This window comes from Homo sapiens, chromosome 16, assembly GCF_000001405.40.
Source record: "Homo sapiens chromosome 16, GRCh38.p14 Primary Assembly".
In the NCBI taxonomy this organism is placed as follows: domain Eukaryota; kingdom Metazoa; phylum Chordata; class Mammalia; order Primates; family Hominidae; genus Homo; species Homo sapiens.
The window spans coordinates 66714425-66736444 of NC_000016.10; the positions used below are offsets into that span (position 1 = coordinate 66714425).

Here is a 22020-nt window from a genome sequence, read left to right on the forward strand (position 1 = left end):
CCTCCAGCCTCAGCCTCTCAAAGTGCTGGGATTATAGGCATAAGCCACATGCCTGGTCTCTCAAGCCTTTTCAAGAACTGAGGCCTGTGTGTCACACAATTTATTCAGGGCTGGTTCTGTTTGGGGACACTGTCTGCAAGCCAGGCACTGTGCTAGGCACACATCCAGCATCCCTATAAAGGAGATGAGGATTTTCTCACTGGATGCTGAGATTCACTGAGGTTAACTGACTTCTCCATGACTACACAACTGTGAAGTTCTGGGGCCACGACTCAAACCCAAGTCGACCTGAAACAAGTTCCCAGCTGAGACAGCCCAGGTGTTGGGCCTGGGGCTATGGATTACAGTTTTTCTTTTATGTCAGAGCAGTTCTGATTCGGCTCAATGCCAGAAATTATTTACGGTTCCAAGTGTGGGGAGAGCCATCTGGTACAGTGGCTGGTTTGAGGCTGTTCTTGATGATGATTCCTATGAGGACTCAGCACCAGCAGCAGGCAATGTTTGCTGAACTCCCCTTTGTGGCTAGGACTGTACTATCCATAGGCATCAGGGAGAAACCTGCTCCTAGGGGGAAAAAACTCCCAGCATTGTCCTAGTTATGACAAATTCACCAATTCACAGTGCTTATTTCCTCTGGGGCAGGGATTGTGAGGGGGAAGAGAAGGTGGGGCAGGAGAGATAAAACAGAGGCTGAAAGGTACTATCACCAGAGTCCAAATTCCAAGGCTCATAAAAACATGGACCTTTATCAAGCCTCAGAAACCCGGCATGTGAATGTTCTCAAAGGGTGTTCTGTGGGACCTGGAAGATGCCCACAGTCAAAGACGTGTCAGACCTACCAGTCACCCATAGAACAAATCAAACCCAAAATCTGTCTAATGCAGTGGTTACCAGACTGGGAAAGGGATGGGGGAAGAAAGGATGAGGAAGGCTGGTTGATGGGTATAAAGTGACAATTAGATAGGAGGAGTAAGTTCTGGTATTCTATCACATAGTAGGATGACTATGGTTAACAGTAACGTATTGGGCCGGGCGCAGTGGCTCACGCCTGTAATCCCAACACTTTGGGAGGCCCAGACAGGTGGATCGCTTGAGTTCAGGAATTTGGGACCACCCTGGACAACATAGTGAACCTCATCTCTACAAAAAAATACAAAAATTAGCCAGGCATGGTGACATGCACCTGTAGTCCCAGTTACTTGGGAGGTAAGGTGGAAGGCTCACTTGAGCCCAGGTTAAGGCTGCAGTGAGCCATGATTGCACCACTGCACTCTAGCTTGGGTGGCAGAGCGAGACAGTCTCAACATAAATAAATAAAATAAAATATACCTTCTCGACACCCACATATTTTCTATATACAAAGCTTAAACAGTGACAGTGTTGTGTCCTATATACTCCAAAGTTTAATTCCAGGCTAGCATTTGTTAGATGATTTTGAATAGGTAAAAAACAGATTCACAAACTGTGCCAAATATTTTAAATATCAAGGGCAGATGTTAACAGGCCACAGCTGCACTCCCACTCTTTAAAATAAATTATTGCCCTAAAAAGGCATATAAATTGTTGAACTCTTCCCAGAACAAAAACTTACATGCTTCACATTAGGTTTGCCTTTTCTAGCAGAACTTTAAATAGTTCTTTGAAGATCCTGCTTGGGTGAGATTTGTGGGGAGGCAGGGCAGGGAGGATGGAGGAGCTTGATGATCACTTAGGAATGTCAGTTAATTCAGTTCTACACAAGAAATAAGTTTGTTACAGAACATTACCCATGAAAATATCTTGTCATTAAATGAATTTTTACATAGGAATTTCTTTTTTCTGTTTTTTTTGAGATGAAGTTCACTCTTGTTGCCCAGACTGGAGTGCAGTGGCTCAATCTCGGCTCACTGCAACCTCCGCCTCCTGGGTTCAAGCGATTATCCTGCCTCAGCCTCCTGAGTAGCTGGGATTACAGGCGCACGTCACCATGACCAGCTAATTTTTGTATTTTTAGTAGAGACGGAGTTTCACCATGTTGGTCAGGCTGGTCTTGAACTCCTGACAACTTCGTGATCCACCCACCTTGGCCTCCCAAAGTGCTGGGATTACAGGCGTGAGCCACCACGCCTGGCCAGTTTTTTGTATTTTTAGTAGAGATGGGGTTTCATCATGTTGGCCAGGCTGCTGTCAAACTCTTGACCTCAGGTGATCCACCCCTCATTGGCCTCCCAAAGTGCTGGGATTACAGGCATAAGCCACCGTGCCTGGCCAGGAATTTTTTTTTTTTTTTTTTTTTTTTGACAGTGAGTCCCACTCCATAACCCAGGCTGGAGTGCAGTGGCACGATCTCAGCTCACTACAACCTCCACCTCCCGGGTTCAAGTGATTCTCCTGCCTCAGCCTCCCCAGTAGCTGGGATTACAGGCACCCGCCACCATGCCCAGGTAATTTTTGTACTTTTAGTAGAGACACGGTTTCACCACGTTGGCCAAGCTGGACCTGAATTCTTGATCTCAGGTGATCCACCCACCTCGGCCTCCCAAAGTGCTGGGATTACAGGTGTGACCCACCACGCCAGCCAAATTTTCATAGTAATTTCGTAACAAGGTTAGAAACATTTGAAAGGTTAGGCTTGTCCCATCTGAAATACTGCCCAAGGTTGGGGAAAGGAGTTCTTGACCCACACAGAATCCACCCCCAATTCCTGGCCTCAAACCCCTGCTTTCTCCTCTCCTTTCCGGCTGTGAGTCCCTCAGCGTCAAGCGCAGGGAGACACTTTCGGCCGTCTCACTGTGAGCCAGCAGGGTGTGCTGTTCATCTCCAGTGGGAGTGTCAGCCGCTTCCTTCCTCCAGCTCTCACCATCACTGCTACTGGCCTGTCATCTGTCTCCTGGTCAGAACACACCATCTCTGCCTTATCAATACAGACGGCATCAAGACAGCACTTGGCATCCTTTCGGCTATCTGCAAGCCTTGCAGGGTAAGGAATACAATACTAAATACCTCAGAACTCGGTTGTGGCATCCTGTAGGAGCAGCACCAGGCATCATCACAGTGAACGGTCACAGGATATCCATCCCTCTACGCTCTGTTGTCTTTAGAGATGGTATTTACACCACAAACTGAAATGCCACAACCAAAAAGGGTAGGGGCTAAGAATGAGGTTGCTGGATCAGTGTTACTCAGAGATGACGTCCTAGAGATGTTTTCAAGGTCATTAATCACACTGAAGACCTACCATATGCCAGGCACATGTGTACCTCCTCTAATGTCCACAATGACTAGAAAGAAATTTTATCCCTACTTTACAAAGATGGGAAAAGGAGGCCTGAGAGGGGTGAAGTTCCCCAATTTTGGTTGTTTTCTTGTTTTGCTTCTTGATCAATTTCTCATCCATCTGAACTGCACTTGCTTGATTCAAATGTCACCAGAGAATGAACTAGGACTGGAACCCATTAGTGCCCATGCCCTCCCCAACATTCCAACTGCCTCCCTCCACGGGTTGCTCCCAATCCAGAGGTGGCAGAAGAGGAATTCCAGAGAGGTTAGTGGTGTGTGTAAGGGCCCCTAAGGCAGGTCTAGAGGCAGGCCAGCCTGCTAGCCTCACAGGCACACCTAGGAACATTTGCACTGGTGAAAGTCTGTCTCAGAGCCTGCCAAGGGCTCCTGCCGCAGGCAACACCTAAAGCTCTTCATACCTTAAGAGAAAGGAAATTCCAAGATTAGGAGTGGCAGACACCTCAATTTGCGTTTCCCAGAAAGATACCTGCGACTGCAGCCCCTTCTCCCTTTGTAGAGGATATTGGGTACTTTATCTGCCATTTCTCTCCACCTAGCAAGAGTGACTCTTCCATCCATCATGGCAAGGGGAAAAGGTTGAACAGCAGCACACAGCTGCTTACGACCACAGATGAAAACACTCTCGATTGATACATTTTCCCCATCTGCTTTATTATTTATTTTTTTGAGACGCAGTCTCACTCTGTCGCCCAGGCTGGAGTGCAGTGATGCGATCTCGGCTCACTGAAACCTCCGCCTCCCAGGTTCAAGTGATTCTCCTGTCTCAGCCTCCTGAGTAACTGGGACTACGGGCTTGTGCCACCATGCCTGGCTAATTTTTGTATTTTTAGTAGAGATGGGGTTTTACCATGTTGGCCAGGCTGGTCTCGAACTCCTGACCTCGTGATCTGCCCACTTCAGCTTCCCAAAGTGCTGGGATTACAGATGTAAGCCACCGTGTGCAGGCCCCCAACTGCTTTAAATGAGCACAGAGTATCAGCATACCACCATGATTAGCTGAAACTCAAGCTAGACTGCCTGGGTTCAAATTCTGGGACCTTAGTAGCTACTTACCTTATCCATGTCTTAATTTCCTCAATCTGGAAACTAAGATGGACATCAGCAGAGTTGTTGTGAAGTTTAAATCAGTTTGTATAAACCACCTAGAAGAGTGACTGGTGGCTGGGCGCCATGGTTCACACCTGTAATCCTAGCACTCTGGGAGGCGGAGGCGGGCGGATCACCTGAGGTCAGGAGTTCCAGACCAGTCTGGCCAATATAGTGAAACCTCGTCTCTACTAAAAATACAAAAATTAGCCAGGCGTAGTGGCGTGCATCTTTAGTCCCAGCTACTCGGGAGGCTGAGGCAGGGAGAATCGCTTGAACCCAGGAGGCAGAGGTTGCAGCGAGCCGAGATTGTGCCACTGCACTCCAGCCTGGGCGACAGAGCGAGACTGCATCTCAAAAATAAAATAAAATAAAATAAAAATAAAATAAATAAAAATAGAAGTGACTGGTATACAGCAATCTCTAATGTAAGCGTTTACTATTACAATGTTAATGCCCGTATTATCAAATAAAATAATCCTCAACACATTTATTCACCAAACTTCCTAACTTAATTTTAAGACAAAATGTAACAATGAATTAATAATCTGTACAAGTGCTGACAGGCACGCAGACTGGTGTGACCTCTATGGAAGGGATTTTGATAATATCTAACAACCACAGACGCGCATTTACCTTTTGAGTAGGTAGGCCCACTGCTAAGAATTTACCCTGAAGACACATCTCCAAAATAAAACACAAGATATGCAGAAGGTTACTCACTGCAGCATTAGATGTAATAATACAAGACTGCAAACATCCTAAATGCCCATCTGCAGGAGACTGGATGAATAAACAAGGTACATTATACAATTGAATAGGATGTAGCCATAAACAAGAATAAACATCTCCATGAACTAATATAAACCAACTTACAGGGAATGCTAAGTGAAAAAGTAGACATGGTGCGTCCACTCAAAAGGCCTACAAGTAATAGCACTCAGTAAAATTAAGTATGCCTATCGTCCAGATCTTGGTTTCCAAAAACCAATCTCCCACTAAAAGAAACCAGGGCTCTAGCCGGGCACGATGGCTCACACCTGTAATCCCAGCACTTTGGGAGGCAGAGGAGGGTGGATCACCTGAGGTCGGGAGTTCGAGACCAGCCTGGCCAACATGGCGAAACCCGTCTCTACTAAAAATATAAAACTTAGCCAGGCGTGGTGGCACATGCCTGTAATCCCAGCTACTCAGGAGGCTGAGGCAGGAGAATCACTTGAATTCGGGAGGTGGAGGTTACAGTGAGCTGAGATTGCACCATTGCACTCCAGCCTGGGCAACAGAGCAAGACTGTCTCAAAAAAAAAAAAAAAAAGAAAAGAAAAGAAAAAGAAAAAAAGAAACCAGGAACCAGGACTCCTTGGAAAAACGGCTGATTCCAGGTCAAAGTCAGGGAAAATGCAAGGTGAGCCTGGAACACCTTTTTGTGCCAGAAAGTAAGAAAATGCTCAGAGATTAAGGGGAGCATATCAAAAGGAAAGAGTTATATCTGTTAAGAGTATAGTATCCAGAATACATAAATAACTCTTACAACCCAATGATAAAAAGTCAAATAGGCTGGGTGCAGTGACTCATGTCTATAATCCCAGCACTTTGGGAGGCTGAGACACAAGCAAGACCCTCAAAACAAACACAAAAAACACAAAAGGCAAATAACCTAATTTTAAAATGAGCAAAGAATCTGAATAGACATTTCTCCAAAGATATATAAATGGCCAATACACACATCAAAAGATGCTCCTTAACATCGTTAGTCACTGAGATACCCACCACCTTCATACTCATGAGGATGGTTGTAATTTTTAAAAACCAAAAAAACCAGGCTGGGTGTGGTGGCTCACACCTATAACTCCAGCACTTTGGGAGGCCAAGGCGGGAGAACCACTGGAGGCCAGGAGTTCAAGACCAGACTTGACAACCCCCAGCTCTAAAAAATAAGATAAAATAAATATGGCTTTACAATGTTATTCTTTCCAGAATTTCTGACAATTTCAAGTGAGACAGGTAAACATTTTTAGTTATGTGATCAGATACCCCATATGATTAGCAGAAAATTCAATGTATCTCCAGTGGGATGATTCACCATAAAGAAAGCCACCAAAACTTGTAAGCAGTCTGGATTCGTGTTTATTGAAGCCAGTAATTAGAGACATCTTTTTTTCCCAGGACTAGAAAGCAAGGTTCCACATGACTGCATACTGCACCCGGACAGAGCCACACCCCTGGACTAAGGCTGGTGGGGGATAATCTGCAGTCTTACTTTTAAGTTAGAAACACCAATAAATTTAGTATACAGACGACAGTGAACTTTCACTTACAGCATTAACATTGTTAAGGTCATGATGTACAGAGCAGTCACTTTCAACTTTGTTAAATTAATAAAACATGACAATGTCTTCAGTTTAAATACCGATTTTAAAATGCCAATCAAAAAAAAGTGCAAACAAAATAACAATCTAGCAGCATTATCTGTTGCATTTTTAGGAAAGACCAATTCTTGGCTGTTATCTTCAGCCACGTATTCAAAGGTGGGCTTTTCTCTGATTTTTTTTTTTATTTTAAAGACAAAAAGCAGATGTAACCATTATAATGTGCATAAATAGTCATAAAATTGTCTTTAACAGTCTACCATACAAGTGTACTCTGCAAATAAAATGAATTTTACTTTAAAAACTAAAGGCTGTTTATTATTTGGCCTTTGGTTCCAATGCTTGAAAACCCCAAAATAACAAAACTCATCTCCCTTCCTCCCACCTCCCAAAAAGAACCCTGCAGCTCCCCAAAGTTGGTAGACTTTGGCAACCACTGAGCACATGACACTATGTATCAGCTTCTTCTGATACTAGGAGCTTCCACTTCTCATGAGTAAATAAAAGTGGTCTCCAAGAAACCTTCCTTCACAAGACATGTCTTAGCATTTCATCAGTTTTAGTATATTTTATATTGACACAAAAAGTGCTTATCAGTTCAAATGATAAAAAATAAAGACAAATTAAAATTTTGCATTAAAATTTAAAATTATACCATATTCCTCTTCGGCATGTGCCTTTCCAGGAATTCTTGTTTCTGAGGTCACTCATTTTACTCCCGGGGACTAAGCGACCCCACCTTTAGTGAGGCCACAAGCTGTTTGGCATCTATTGGTCACTATACCACAATTATCATTCTACAGTCAGTTTACTGTCATTACCTAGACAACCTGGTAACTGGAAGCCACAATACATTTGTTTTTTTAAAAAACTGAATTAAAAAAGGAAAAAAATAGTATATCTCAACAATAAAACTGGCACAAGAAACATTTCTATCAGAAAGGCAAGTTGATACTCAGCTTTCTCCTTAACAGTGTTCAGACCTTTACGAAAGCAATTCAAGAAAGTCTTCAAAGAGTCTTGACACAACATAGGATATTAAGTTATCCCCAGTACTACATTAGTGGTCAGTCAAATCTGGTATGTAAAAGTAATGACATTAGGGAAGTTATGCTTAGACACAGTACAACAAACATTCATATAAAAAAAGTAAACTCCACATGGTGAACTGTGGTTTTTTCCCTTGGTTTGACAACATTTTATACATTAAATTCATGGTAGTGTTTGCATTTAAATGCTGTCATATATAAAATTAAAAGTGCAATTTCAAATCCACAGAAATCATTTCCAGAATGGTGGTATAACATGACAATGTGCATGAATTTGCCCTAGGTGGGGAGACACCTGAAACTCTTATTTCCATAAGAAAAAAAATGCTACATTTTATGAAAACACCTAACAAGAGAAATGTATCATTTCCATTTTCTGTATAAAACATTCACACTTATCTGTCCATCTCATAGCACTGATCAGACCAGGAAGCTAGGAAAAGACCCTTTTGCATCAGTGGAACTCCTTGAAGCTTTCCACAAGTCATAAGGCAGGGCTTGGTACGAGCCAATTAACCAGAGTGCAATTACATTAAAAACCTCCCCCAAACTTTCCGTGGCACATTGCATTATGGTAAAACCAGAGGTTCATCACCTATTTTGTATTAGTTAGGCCAGCCTGTGATAGTAAAAACAAAAAATTTAATTTAAAAAATAAAGCAGGAGCTATTTAGACAACAAAATTCAAAGTAAACTAATTCTGTAACTGCTGACTTTGAAGACATCCCACAGTGACTGTCTGCCCCACAACACATATCCGTGGACCCCAGTACCTCTCACGAGGACATAGCCTGGGCCAAGCACATGGGTCCTGGGCAGCTGCCATCGTTCCCACCCCTGGGTCAGCTCCGCCTGACTCAGGCACCCCCACAATTAGTACATCTTTCGTAAGTTAAAGATGCATTCAAAATAAGCCTAATTCCCATTTTGCTTAGTGTTTTGTTTGGAAATGCTTCTAACAATGATTCTTCAACTTCTACTGAATGCACAGTATTTACTGACACTGCTCATCTCCTCCTTCCTCCACCTCCCTCAACATTCAGCTTCCCCACCATCACTTGTCTCATTACTCCTTCTGGTCTTTCTTTCCTGGACTTTCTGCTACTTAATCTGCTTCCCAAGAACAAGTGAATTTACTAACATGAAACTGGTCAGACTAACCATCATCTTACCAATGATTTCTTGGTCTCATTTGCTCCACCCTGTTAGAAAGTGGGCCCTCTTTCTTTCACTCTACCTTCCCCTCCACAAGAAGCCCAGATGTGCTTGCCTCCCACAAAAGAGCCACATGCCCCAGAGTCCAAGGGTTATCCTTAACAAAGGGTCTGACATGTAACCTTCCTAAATGTGCATTTCACACTCGGACAAGCCAATGAAGTTTTTTTTTTTTTTTTAAAGTTCATCTCCCCTGCCCCAAAAAACTGATAGCATGTGCCATATCAGAAAAATCCTGGTCTTAGCAGATCAATATACATAGTTATTTGGTCATTCGACATATGCACTTTTTAAGGAGGTTCAGGCTTCATTTTCTGTTGAAGAGTTTGTTACCATAGAGTCTGGCTTTCGAGTCATTCTATCCAGTTCTTCCTGAACATTTGACAACACAGTCTTTTGTCCTGAAAAAAAAAAAAAGCAAAAAAGCAAAGTAATGATGTGAGAAGAGGAAACAATTTTTTTTAAAGGAGCATTTAAAATTATACGCCTTCTATAATCACTTGATGACAGTAACCTTAATAAGAATGAGGAAAGCCCTTTTCTACTGCAGTGGTGAGGAGACCCCAACTCGGCACATCCTAATCCCAAAAGTCACAGGCCAGTGCTTCCTCCAACTCCAAGGGAGTGACTTGACTGCTCTCTGGCGGGGGGTGCCTTTGTGCCAAATACAAGAACCTTTCTGAAAACCCTCTCACCACCCAACCCTGACCCCTGTGCACTCTCACCACCATCTTCCTAGAGGTAGTACCTGAATTTCAGCAACGAAGGAAACTATTTTCTTTGCCCCAGATAGGTGTTTTTGTTTATAACATTCTAGACTGACTCAAATGGATAGCCTGAAAACATTATGTTTCAATAAGAATAAGATAGTTCAGTCCTGCACAAAATCTATACTTGTATTTTTCTGCTGTCAGACACGAACAGGCCTAGAAATAGACACCTATTTCCCAGAAGGGAATACTACCAGCCCAGAGTCTGGGCCACTAGACCAGACTCTGAGTTTCTTAGAACATAGGAGCCACTGGAGGCCCAGGCTGCCCCAAGTGATTTCCTGAGGGTCTCCTCTGCCCTGAAGACATCAATTAGGGAAAACAATGTATAAACATACCTTATAGCCAATGGAAAATGGAAAGCAAAAACCCCTTAAAATGTCCTCCAGCTTCTTGGGAAAATGTGTAATTCCCAAGGAAAACATGTTTTGTTTTGTTTCAGAGATCTCCAAGACATAGACCCGCCCTACCTGCTTACATGGAAGGACAGGTGGGTGGCTGCCACAGAGGTGTGTATGTGACAAGTAGGGAGCTTCAGGGAGGAGGAGGCCTTGACTCTGCAGTGAGACAGTGAGGGTTCACAGCCAAACTGGGGGCAGTGGAGTAAACAAAAATCCTTACAAAGCATCACAGAAAAAAAAATAGAACAAATAAAACATCACTGGTTCAGAACAACTAAGGCTTTAGTATAATTTTAAAAAATTAAAAGTAGGCCAGGTGCACTAATCCCAGCACTTTGGGAGGCCAAGGCAGGTGGATCACCTGAGGTCAGGAGTTCGAGAACAGCCTGGCCAACATGGCGAAAAACCGTCTCTACTAAAAATACAAAAAAATTAGCCGGATGTGGTGGCGCGTGCCTGTAGTCCCAGCTACTCGGGAGGCTGAGGCAAGAGAATTGCTTGAACCCGGGTGGTGGAGGTTGGCAGTGAGTTGAGATCATGCCACTGTACTCCAGCCTGGGCGACAGAGCAAGACTCCATCTCTATCAAAAAAAAAAAAAAAGTCAGCCGCAGACGGTGGCTCACACCTGTAATCCCAGCACTTTGGGAGGCCAAGATGGAGGGATCACCTGGGGTCAGGAATTCCAAGACCAGCCTGGCCAACATGATGAAACCACATCTCTACTAAAAATACAAAAAATTAGCTGGGCATGATGGCACGCGCCTGTAATCCCAGCTACTCGGGAGGCTGAGACAGGAGAATCGCTTGAACCTGGGAGGCGGAGGTTGCAGTGAGATCACGTCATTGCACTCCAGCCTGGGCAACAAGAGCAAAACTCCACCTTGGAAAAAGAAAAAAAAAGTCACTGGTACACCCTCCATGGACCATGACTTCTACTGGAGAGGTTCTACAACAGGGCCACATATGTAATTTAGGCTATACCTCAACTCACCCAACACCCAGTTCCCGAGAACCCAAATGTACACAAATCCCACTCTCAATGTGCCAAGGAAACCTGCATGGTAGTAAGGCAATCCCACTGAAAGCACGGCACACTGCTCAGTAGGAAATGAAGACCTGCTTCCTTGCTTGGCTATTCAGGACACTGCAGGGTCTGCAGGGCAGGTGTCTGCCTCTCCATCCTTGCAGCACTACTCAACCACAAGAGTCACAAGTCTCCAGGGCCCTTCTGTACCTGACTTCTTGGCTGTGCTCTGCACCCCACCAGCACCAGGACTTCCAGGAGAGCCTGTCTTTTTACTCAACAGACTGTTGAAGAAGCTGGCCAACACCCCTTCACTTGCTGCATTATCTAAGGAAAATTAAAGAGAAAAAAAAGCATCATATAAACTGGAAGACTTAAAATTAAACACCCTAGTTCTCAGCTTGGCATTAGCCACTTGTGGCTATCAGCTTCCTAGGATATTGATAACATTCATTCGCTACGATGCCTTTACACTGCTACTGCTGAGGCTACTTAGCATGATTACTAAGTGGAACCATGTTTACATTTCCCACTTGTTTGGGAGCAGAATAGATAACCTGTGCTCCACACCACCTCCCCGTCCATGAGACAGTGTTTTTCAAAGTTGCATGAGCACTTAACATTCCAAACCTGCTGTGAAAAGCTCACATCCTGAATAGAAGACACCCATCAAACAAGCATTAAATAAAACTGTTTTTTAATGATTTTACTGCAGGCAGTATCTGTGAGTATCACTAAGTTACTGGGATAAAAGCTACTTAATCTGAAAAGTAATTGAGCTTGACAAGAGAAGTGAAGGGGGAAAAATCCCCACAATTCATAGACAGTCATCATATAAACATAATGAGAAACAAAGTTACAGATTCAAAATACACATTTTAAAGTGACTCCCTCAGCCAGGGGTGGTGGCTCACGCCTGTAATCCCATCACTTGGGGAGACCAAGGGCGTAGGACTGCTTGAGGCTAGGAGCTTGAGATCAGCCTCGGCAACGTAAGTGAGACCCCTACCTCTATAAAAAATATTTTTGTTTGTGTTTTTTTGAAATGGAGTCTTGCTCTGTCACCCAGGCTGGAGTGCAATGGCACAATCTCGGCTCACTGCAACCTCCACCTCCCAGGATTAAGCCGTTCTCCTGCCTCTGCCTCCCGAGTAGCTGGGATTACAGGTGCCCACCATCACGCCTGGCTAATTTTTGTACAGAGAAGGTTTCACCATGTTGGCCAGGCTGGTCTCAAACTCCTGCCCTCAAGTGATCTGCCCGCCTCAGCCTCCCAAAGTGCTGGCTTGAGTCACCACGCCAGGCCTTTTTTTTTTTGAAACAGTCTCTCACTCTGTCACCCTGGCTGGAGCATGGTGGCATAATCACAGCTCAACTGCAGCCTCAATGCCCTGGGCCCAAGCAATCCTGCCGCTTCATCCACTTGAGTAGATGGGACTACAGGCAAGCACCATCATGCCCAGCTAATTTTTCAATATTCTGTAGAGGCGAGGTCTCACTATGTTGCCCGGGCTAGTCTCGAACTCTTTAGCTCAAGCTATCCTCCCACCTTGGCCTCCCAGAGTACTAGGATTATAGGCATGAGCCACTGCATCTGGCCTACAATAAAAATTTTAAAAATTAGCTGGGCATGGTGGCACACGCCTATAGTCCCAGCTACTCCAGAGTTGACATGGGAGGATCACTTGAGCCCAGGAGTTTGAGGCTGCAGTGTGCTATGATCGTATCACTGTGCCACAGGCTGGGTGACAGAGTGAGACCCTGTCTCTAAAAAAATAAAGTTACTATTTTGCATTCCTCTCTGAAGGAATGAGCAGGGCCTAAGTGAGGTCTCACACAGAGCCAGGTGCATGGGCTACCAATTCTAACAAAGGAACAGGCCCTGGTCTCTGCCTACCATGGACCTTCTTCCTCTGGAATGGGGGAAATGGAAAGTAGCCCTTATCGGGGAAGAGAATAGCCTGGCTTCCATGAGTCTCCACCTTATAGACTCAGCCACCCAGCCCCTGCAGGGCTCAGGTCTAAAACTAAACTACTCTCCAAAGAGACATACTTTTGAGGAATACATACTTTTGATGTTTGGGTCCGGCTTTTTTACTGACGTGCCTGGGGAGGAGCTAGGCACACTGGCTGGCCCTCCCCGACCCTGGGTCCTTGGAGAGCCAGAGGGTCCTCTTGCAGGAGATTCCTAAGTCCAAAAGCAGCTAAGGTCACACACAGGCATAACAATAACAAAAAATACATATGCCACAAATGGAGACATGCTTCTGAGGGATATTTTTCACAGGCTATGGTACAGGACTGGGAGTATGCTCTCAATTCAAGCCCTTTCTGGCTCTCTTTCTCCTGAGAGAAAGACATCCAGATAACAAAGCCAGCTCACTCTAATTCCCAGAGTTGTATTCTTTCATCAGAAACTTCTTGAGTTTCTTTTATGTTTCTGGTCATGGGTCTTTAGGGAAACCAAATTCCCACTGAAAATACAAAACCCACACAAATATACGCTCTCACAAATAATGGTATAAAGTTTGATGACACCCACAACACTGGGCCTTGACCCTCTGTTTAGTGTAAGGTACTCACAGAAGCTCTCGTGGGAGTGGCTGGTTGCTTGGCAAGGAGTGACTGCAAAGAGAGGGACAAACTGGCTATTAACCAAGGCCTGCAGAGAGCACTGAAGGTCTAGAGAAAAACTTACTCCAAGTACTCCACTAGAGGGCACTATTAACAACAACTAAGTCCTATGTTTTATACCACAGATGCCAAAAAATTTTAATTGAGCCGTTTGGTATATGGTGAAAAAAAATACTCCAAGTAACCAGTTTTGAAGCTAAGGAAGCAAGCAAAGGACAGAAAGGAAAAAGATGGAAAAAGAAGGAAACAGTTGGAAAAAGAACCATCAAAACTTCCTGCTGACCTGCCTGTACCACTGGGCAGATGATAGGTGGACCCAGGACACATCTAACAATAATCTGGGTGACAGAAATGGGAAGTCTGCATTCTAAACTGTCAGCTTGGGGAAGTTACTCTCCTCATCTGCAAAACAGGCATCACCTGCCTTTATGTACAGGGCTGTGTGAGGCTACATGAAATAATGGAAGTGTGGTCAGGTTACTTGGTTAACTGTCAACATAGGAAGTATTATGCCAGAAAACCACATTTCCAAAGAAAGAGCACTTAAAAGATGCGAATCCTACTATTCCTGTAGGAGAGTCTGCAAGGCAGGTAGGTGATCTCCTAAGGAGGTGGTCCATCCCCAACTAATCCTAGAAATAAGGAGGGAATGAGGAGACCTGGTCTCAACCCCTCTACCACTGCAAGCTCTTTGTGACTTCCCACATGCAGACACCCCCAACCCCACCCTAGGGACTGGCATTTCATGCATGAGAAGGCCTCTGTTCTAACCTCACTGGTCTTCTTACCTGTTGCTTCATTAGGAACACCTGCTCATCTTCTGCTGCCAACTCTTTGTCGTGGACCAGCTGTGAAACAACATACATGTTTGTGGCCACAGGCCAAGAATACTCCTAACCACTGTCAAACTTCATGCCGAAAGGAGAGTCCGAGGCTCAGGCTTCAACACAGGTCTGGGAGATCCCTACTGAGACTGCAGAGTAATATTTTTCTAGCCTGGCACAGACCTCTCCCAAAACCAGCCGCAGCATGTAGCCAACTGGCATTTTTAAGTCTGGCAGGTTCTAAACACCTCAGGGTCTGCAGGACATCACATGAGGGGATCCAGTAACAGTAATCCAGAGGCAACGGCAGCACTGGCAGGACTTAATGGGAAACACCACCAACTCCAGGTGAGCATTCCATCACTCCTTCCCACCAGCCCTGAGCCATTTACATAACGCCAGACCTCATTTAAAGATCAACAAAAAGGCCCTGGGACTTACTACTCCCCACTACCCCCCACAAACTATACAATGTGTAAGACCTGTTTCTTTATAGTTTTTTTTTTTTTTTTTTTTTTGAGATGGAGTCTCGCTCTTGTCACCCAGGCTGGAGTACAGTGGCCCGATCTCGGCTCATTACAACCTCCGCCTCCCAGGTTCAAGCAATTCTCCTGCCTCAGCCTCCCAACTGCTGGGATTACAGGAATCAGCCACCACGCCCCATCTTTATAGGCTTCTTTTTGCATTAAAAAACACCTAAACCCTTTTTCTTCTTTTCTTTTTTTGATATGGAGTCTCACTCTGTTGCCAGGTTGGAGTGCAGTGGCGCAATCTGGGTTCACTGCAATCTCTGCCTCCCAGGTTCAAGTGATTCTCATGCCTCAGCCTCCCAAGTAGCTGGGATTACAGGCGCTTGCCACCATACCCAGCTAATTTTTGTATTTTAGTGGAGATGGGGTTTTGCCATGTTCGCCAGGCTGGTCTCAAACTCCTGACCTCATGTGATCTGCCCGCTTTGGCCTCCCAAAGTGCTGGGATTACAGGCATCAGCCACCGCGCCCGGCCCTAAACCCTTAAAGCAATTGTCTTTGACTACCTTTCTCACGGGAGGTTTCACAATAAAGTCTTCATATGCATCTTCCGGCTTCACGGTTGTAAAATTTTCATGTAAAATAGCTATTTTCTTTTCATTGTCCCAGCCTGCAGGTCTAAAGGCAAAGAGAGAGGGACTGAATTGCTTTTCCTGGGGCTGCCTTAGAGCATACTCAGATCACATTCAGGACTCCTGGGTAGGACACTTCTCACAAGATATAGTGTGTAGTTGTTGGGGGTTGTTTGTAGCTTTTGGCAGATGTGCCAAAATACACTGTGGGTATAATCCATCAGAACATCGCAGGTCCTGCTCCATACTGAGTTCATGGGCCCAAGGTCTAAGGAGCCAGTATGAGATCCCATTCCACAGGCTGCCCCACTCAAAAGCATTTAGCACTCTCCCACAACTCTGCCTAGAAGAGCAAGGACACAGTGGGGTCCTGTTCCGACAGAGAATAGGATGCAGAGAGCAGCACAGAAGGCAGAGCTCAGGATGGGATGGTTTTCTTGGGCTCTGACATGGCTCCCCTCCTGTGGGTTGTTTCTCTAAGAATTCTTTCAACAGTTATCTTGTAGACTGGTTCATTAACTTTGCTGGCATGGGAAGATGTGTCCTAGAACCAAGGGGCAAGCAGGGCCTGTGTTTATCCTAGGCCCCAAACCAGAGAAGCACAGAGTCCTTGAGGTTCCTACACCAGTGCTGGCCAGCTCAACATCACAGGGTAGGATGGCACCCAAGTTCCATTATGTGAAGCCACAGCCTAGGGTTCCCACCTGAATCCCTTAAAGGTAGCAATGGTAAAATACCCTGTATGACACACTTTTGAACTCGAGCAGCTCTGAAAGATGGCAACTGACTGATTGTTCTCACAGGCCTCTCATTCTCCATCTGTCTTCTACTCCATAGCTCTATAATCAAGAGGGTGCTTAGCCAGGGTGCTCCACCCCAATATCCTTGCTGACTTTGCCAGTCACCAGAGAGGTAACTACCAACAGGACCAAATGTGCAAACGGGCAGGGCATGATTGAGATACTGCCGTGAGCCATGCAGCCTTCGGAAGCTGAGAGATGCTTCTTCATTCCAGACCAGCCCCAAATCCAACCGGTCTCCTTGCTCCTAGGGATGACATGTGATTTGGATACCAAGTGATTCCAAACACACCTCTCACAGGGCTTGTGCCTCTGGCGCCTGCCTGACTGCTCTGAACAACTATCTAAAATCAGCCCAAGCCTGTAGGTATGCCATCTATGACTAGCCTGAGTGACACTCTCCTTGACTGTGCAGGAGGCAACCCAAATCCCTGAGAGCTCCTGGCTTTCACATTTCCAGCCTCTCACAGACTGCACTCCCCGGCTCCCCCTATTGCAATTCTTTCCAGTCCGCCTGGGATCTACCATTTGTCTTCCAGCATCACCCTCCTGCTTTCCCTGCCATACTTCCTCCATAACCCCATCACTGCCCTTCCCTTCTTCAGCTGTGTATGTCCCCTCTAGACAGTGCCATATGCAAGGAACACGTATCATTCATTTCTGTGTCCTTTGCAGAGAACCTGAGCACCTAGTGGGTGCTGAATAAGGTTTCCTGAATGAATAATGTAATTGTTTGTTAAGTCAGGAGGATACTGAAGCCTGAACATCAATCTGCTAACACAAGTCTTGTCAGAGACCACAGCTTCATATTTATGCATCCAGCAACACTATGATTCTCCAGTGAGAGAAAGACACCAGCTTAGGAAAACAGGTATCCAAGTCTCTATCGAGGACAATCAATCCCGGTGGCTCCCAAAATGTGAAATGCCAGAAGCACAGTAAGCACTTAATATAGCGAAAGCCCATGCTGACAGAGATGCCGAGAGGATGTTTGCAGTCATCCCTGCCAACACACAGATAAAGCAGGCGCTTTAATAGAAGACATTCAGGATCCCCCAAGCACAATTCCCTATATTCCCTCCCCAGCCAGTATTTTACCAGAGTTGACAGTGAGTGCCAAAAATGGCTGGCTTAGGTTTTGGCAACTTGCTCTCGAGGAAGAAAGGCAGCACCCCTGACCACACCACCCACTTCCCTCAGGCAGATGCCTCATAATCCGGAAAGGAACAGAGAGAAGGTGCAGTGAGAGAGCTGGCTGTAGAAGACACAGACAGAAGGCACCTTCCTTGAAGGGGTAAAATGTAAAAAGCAAATGTACTTTAAAAAGAAGAGTTTCAAAGCATCAGCTCAAAATAACTCACATAAAAACGGCATCCTTTTCCACAACTAAGGCAGGTGTGGTGAAGTGGAAACCGTATGTTTTATGAACAATATACTTATACAACAAGTCGAGGTTTTTCTCTTCTTTCACTGATGTGTAAATCAAGGCAGCTCCATCTAATCAATCTGCTCAAGAAAAATCAATTCACTGCAGGAGGAGACAAAATCGAACACATACAACCTCAAAGTACTACTCATAGGTTGATCAGTTTTTGATCAATATATGAGCAACAGAAAGCATTACAATTTTAAAAACTAAAACGCTTATAGTATTACATAGGCATACTGCACACTGGTAAAAATAAATAAATAAATAAAAAAGTAAAAAGGTCATAGTAGCAGATGAATGAAGTCAAAAGCATAAAGCTATGTTGATGCTAGTGGGCTGTAGAGTTTATTTTTTAACGTGTAAATTGTTGTCTTGATCCCACAGATTACTTCCTGAGAAGTAAAGTATTGGCTCTGAGGTTAGCCCAGGAAAACACTCTCAGAGTATCAAGGTACACAGATTCCTTCCCAGACAGATGCCTACATGCGACCAAATTTATCATTAAACCCATCTTTTGAGGGATGGGTGCCAACAGGCTAATGGGCCATCCCAAAAAAGATGGCAGGAACTCATCTCTCACCTCCACCCCAGGGTGTGGAACCACGGCACCAACTGCTATTGGCTTTTTATAGTTAACAGGACTCAAAAGACTACAGACACCACCTCTCTATCATGGACAGCACAAAACATAAACATATGGGAAACACCAGTAGCCTATAAAACAATACCCTGTTTGGTAATTGACCTTTTCTACATAAAAGCAAAGTTTAAAAATATTTCTAAGACAGTATGATAAAAGTAATTTGATGATAAAATGATCACATTAAATTCTTAATAGGAAAGCTTATCAAATGTATAGCATTAATTAAAAGTGGGCAGACACAGTGGCTCACGCCTGTAATCCCACCACTTTGGGAGGCCAAGGAGGGCAGATTACTTGAGGTCAGGAATTCGAGAATAGCCTGGCCAACATGCTGAAACCGTCTCTACTAAAAATACAAAAATTATCCAGATGGCCAGGCATGGTGGCTCGCGCCTGTAATCCCAGAACTTTGAGGGGGCCGAGGTGGGTGGATCACATGAGGTCAGGAGTTCGAGACTAGCCTGGCCAACATGGTGAAACCCTGTTCTCTACTAAAAATACAAAAACTAGCCGGGTGTGGTGGCTCATGCCTGTAATCCCAGCTACTTGGGAGGCTGAGGCAGGAGGGTCGCTTGAACATAGGAGGTGGAGGTTGCAGTGAGCCGAGATCATGCCACTGTACTCCAGCCTGGACGACAAGAGTGAAGCTCTGTCTCAAAACAAACAAACAAAAATCTGGAAGTGGTGGCGCACACCTGTTGTCCCAGGTACTCAGGAGGCTGAGGGAGGAGGATTGCTTGAACCCAGGAGCACAAGAGCTAAGACTGCACCACTGTACTCCAGCCTGGGTGACAGAGCAGACTCTGTCTCAGAAAAAAAATTAAAAAATACGCCGAGCGCAGTAGCTAACAGCTATAATCCCAGCACTTTCGGAGGCTGAGGTAGGTGATCACTTGAGGTCAGGAATTTGAGACTAGCCTGGCCAAAGTGGTGAAACACCATCTTAAAACAAACAAACAAACAAACAAATAAATGAGTGATCAAAGGTAGACACAAGTTAATAAACCTAAAACTCCGATACAGTAAAACATAAACCTAGTAAAAAGATATATACAAATTCTCTTTGGCAGAACACTATTCTGGGTTTGGGAGGTGCTTTATCTCTTTGAAGATGCCCCATTTGGAAGAAAGCCTGTGACCCAGGCCCCACACAGCGCCCAAAGGATACACTGAAGGCAGAACCTCCGCAGGTGTGACTGGATAAAGTCCAAATGCTCATCCCTGTAATCGTGCTCCTTCTCCAGGACACTCACCGCATCACACTGCAGGGAAGACAGACAGAGTCACCTTTTTGCTTCATTGCCTGCTGACGATGGGAACACCTCATTCTTCAGAAATAAAGTATTGTGGCTCCAAAGAAGAAAGCCACAGCTCAGGGTCCAAGCATTAATTAGAGAAGAGTAAAAAAGAACCGGAGATTTTTCTCATTCATCTTGGGCCTCGTTTTTTTTTTTATCTGTAGAGTGAAGATGTAATAGGCCTGATCACCTAACAGTTTGTTCTAAACATCAAACAAGCTCCCATCAGGAGGCAGGCCCGGTGTACACAGTTGTACACTCCACTCCACAGGGCTCCATTCTCAAGAACAGGATGAGAATGGCACACTATAATTGGGTAACATGATGGCTCTGACTGGAAATAAAGTACTTTTAAAACCCAAAATGTGGCCAGGCGTGGTGGCTTACACTTGTAATCCCAACACTCTGGGAGGTCAAGGTGGGCAGATCACCTGAGGTTGGGAGTTTGAGACCAGCCTGACCAACATGGAGAAACCCACATCTCTAATAAAAATACAAAATTAGCCAGGCATGGTGGCGGACACCTGTAGTCCCAGCTACTCAGGAGGCTGAGGTAGGAGAATCGCTTGAACTGGGAAGGCAGAGGTTGCAGTGAGCCGAGATCACACCATTGTACTCCAGCCTGGGCAACAAGAGTGAAACTCCGTCTCAAAAAAAAAAAAAAAAAAAAAAAAAGTTTTAAAACCTATTGTTTTTCCTTATATAAGAGATACAACTTTATTTCTCTATTTCTCTATGACTGAACTTTGTTTGTTTTTTTTTTCTTTTTTTTTTGAGACATAGTCTCACTGTGTCATCCCGGATGGAGTGCAGTGGCGCCATCTCAGCTCACTGCAACCTCAGCCTCCCAGCTCAAGCAATTCTCCTGCCTCAGCCCCCGAGTAGCTGGGATGACAGGCACCTGCCACCACGCCTGGCTAATTTTTCTATTTTAGTAGAGACAGGGTTTCACCATGTCGGCCAGGCTGGTCTTGAACTCCTGACCTCAAATGATCCACCCACCTGAGCCTCCCAAAGTGCTGGGATTACATGAGCCACCATGTCTGGCATGACTGAACTTAATTTCTATTCCTACCTCATCATTCTAATTTTCCACCATCAGTTTGGACCACATCAGCTGATTTAAATAGCCTTAAGGAAACTGCTGTGAGTTCTTTTTTTTTTATTTTTATTTTTTGAGACGGAGTCTCGCTCTATCGCTCAGGCTGGAGTGCAATGGCATGATCTCGGCTCACTGCAAGCTCCACCTCCTGGGTTAATGCCATTCTCCTACCTCAGCCTCCCAAGTAGCTGGGACTACAGGTGCCCGCCACCACGGCTGTCTAATTTTTTGTATTTTTTGTAGAGACGGGGTTTCACCATGTTAGCTAGGATGGTCTCCATCTACTGACCTCATGATCCGCCCACCTCAGCCTCCCAAAGTGCTGAGATTACAGGCGTGAGCCACCGCAACTGGCCAACTGCTGTGAGTTCTAAGTTTGAAAGTCAACAGTGCTTCAGAGACATTAACCCTAGGCCATGAGCAAACTGACTAGTCATGTTTCCTGCATTTAAACTTCCAATTTACATGATAATTTTTTCTGTCTTGACATATTCAATGTACCTTAATGAATCTCAAATAAGCCCAAGTCTCCCTTGGGAAAAAAACGTCAACAGTTTCTCAAACTTTCAGATGGTGACTGTTCACCACCCGAACCCAGCCAAGCCAACAACCCCCTGGCACACACCTTTGTGCACACCACCAACACCGGGATCCCCAGGTTATGAGTCAGCACATTGTCACCCAGAGGCAGGGCAACATTTTCTTCATCGGAGCCTGAGGTCAGAGGGCCTCTTCTCTGTGGGGAACCTTGACAACCTTCTTCAGGTTCCATATAGTCTTGAAAATCTTTCACAACTGGGGGAAAAAGAGGAAAAAAAATCACATGCACATAAATAAAAATACATGTTAGCTTTAGAACACTGAAAAGAAGGCAATAATAAGCACAAAACACAGGCAGTTGTGTGTGACAAACTTCTTAGTCACATCCAACTGCAAAATCAAGGATTTGGGGATGGTGATACAAAATGCCAATTCTGAAATATTCAGTGTGAGCT

The 22020-nt window shown here is 44.8% G+C and overlaps 1 protein-coding gene across 5 annotated transcripts in view; it reads right to left on the minus strand.

Annotated features, from left to right (window-relative positions):
• Positions 1-6468: 6468 nt before the first annotated feature.
• Positions 6469-22020, minus strand: part of DYNC1LI2 (dynein cytoplasmic 1 light intermediate chain 2) — a 30717-nt gene continuing 15165 nt past the window's right edge. For 3 of the 5 annotated variants that reach the window (NM_001323955.2, NM_001286157.2, NM_006141.3), the window contains 9 exons: positions 21651-21820; positions 19794-19887; positions 17915-18050; positions 15688-15799; positions 14616-14675; positions 13777-13818; positions 13264-13381; positions 11404-11520; positions 6469-9398 (listed from right to left, as the gene is read on the minus strand). In NM_001323955.2, the coding sequence (NP_001310884.1) occupies positions 9298-9398; positions 11404-11520; positions 13264-13381; positions 13777-13818; positions 14616-14675; positions 15688-15799; positions 17915-18050; positions 19794-19887; positions 21651-21820 (950 nt within the window). In that variant the 3' untranslated portion in view covers positions 6469-9297. Of the gene's footprint in view, positions 9399-10236; positions 10325-11403; positions 11521-13263; positions 13382-13776; positions 13819-14615; positions 14676-15687; positions 15800-17914; positions 18051-19793; positions 19888-21650; positions 21821-22020 lie in introns of those variants that run through there. The other 2 variants (NR_136658.2, XM_017023008.2) reach the window with 2 other exon arrangements.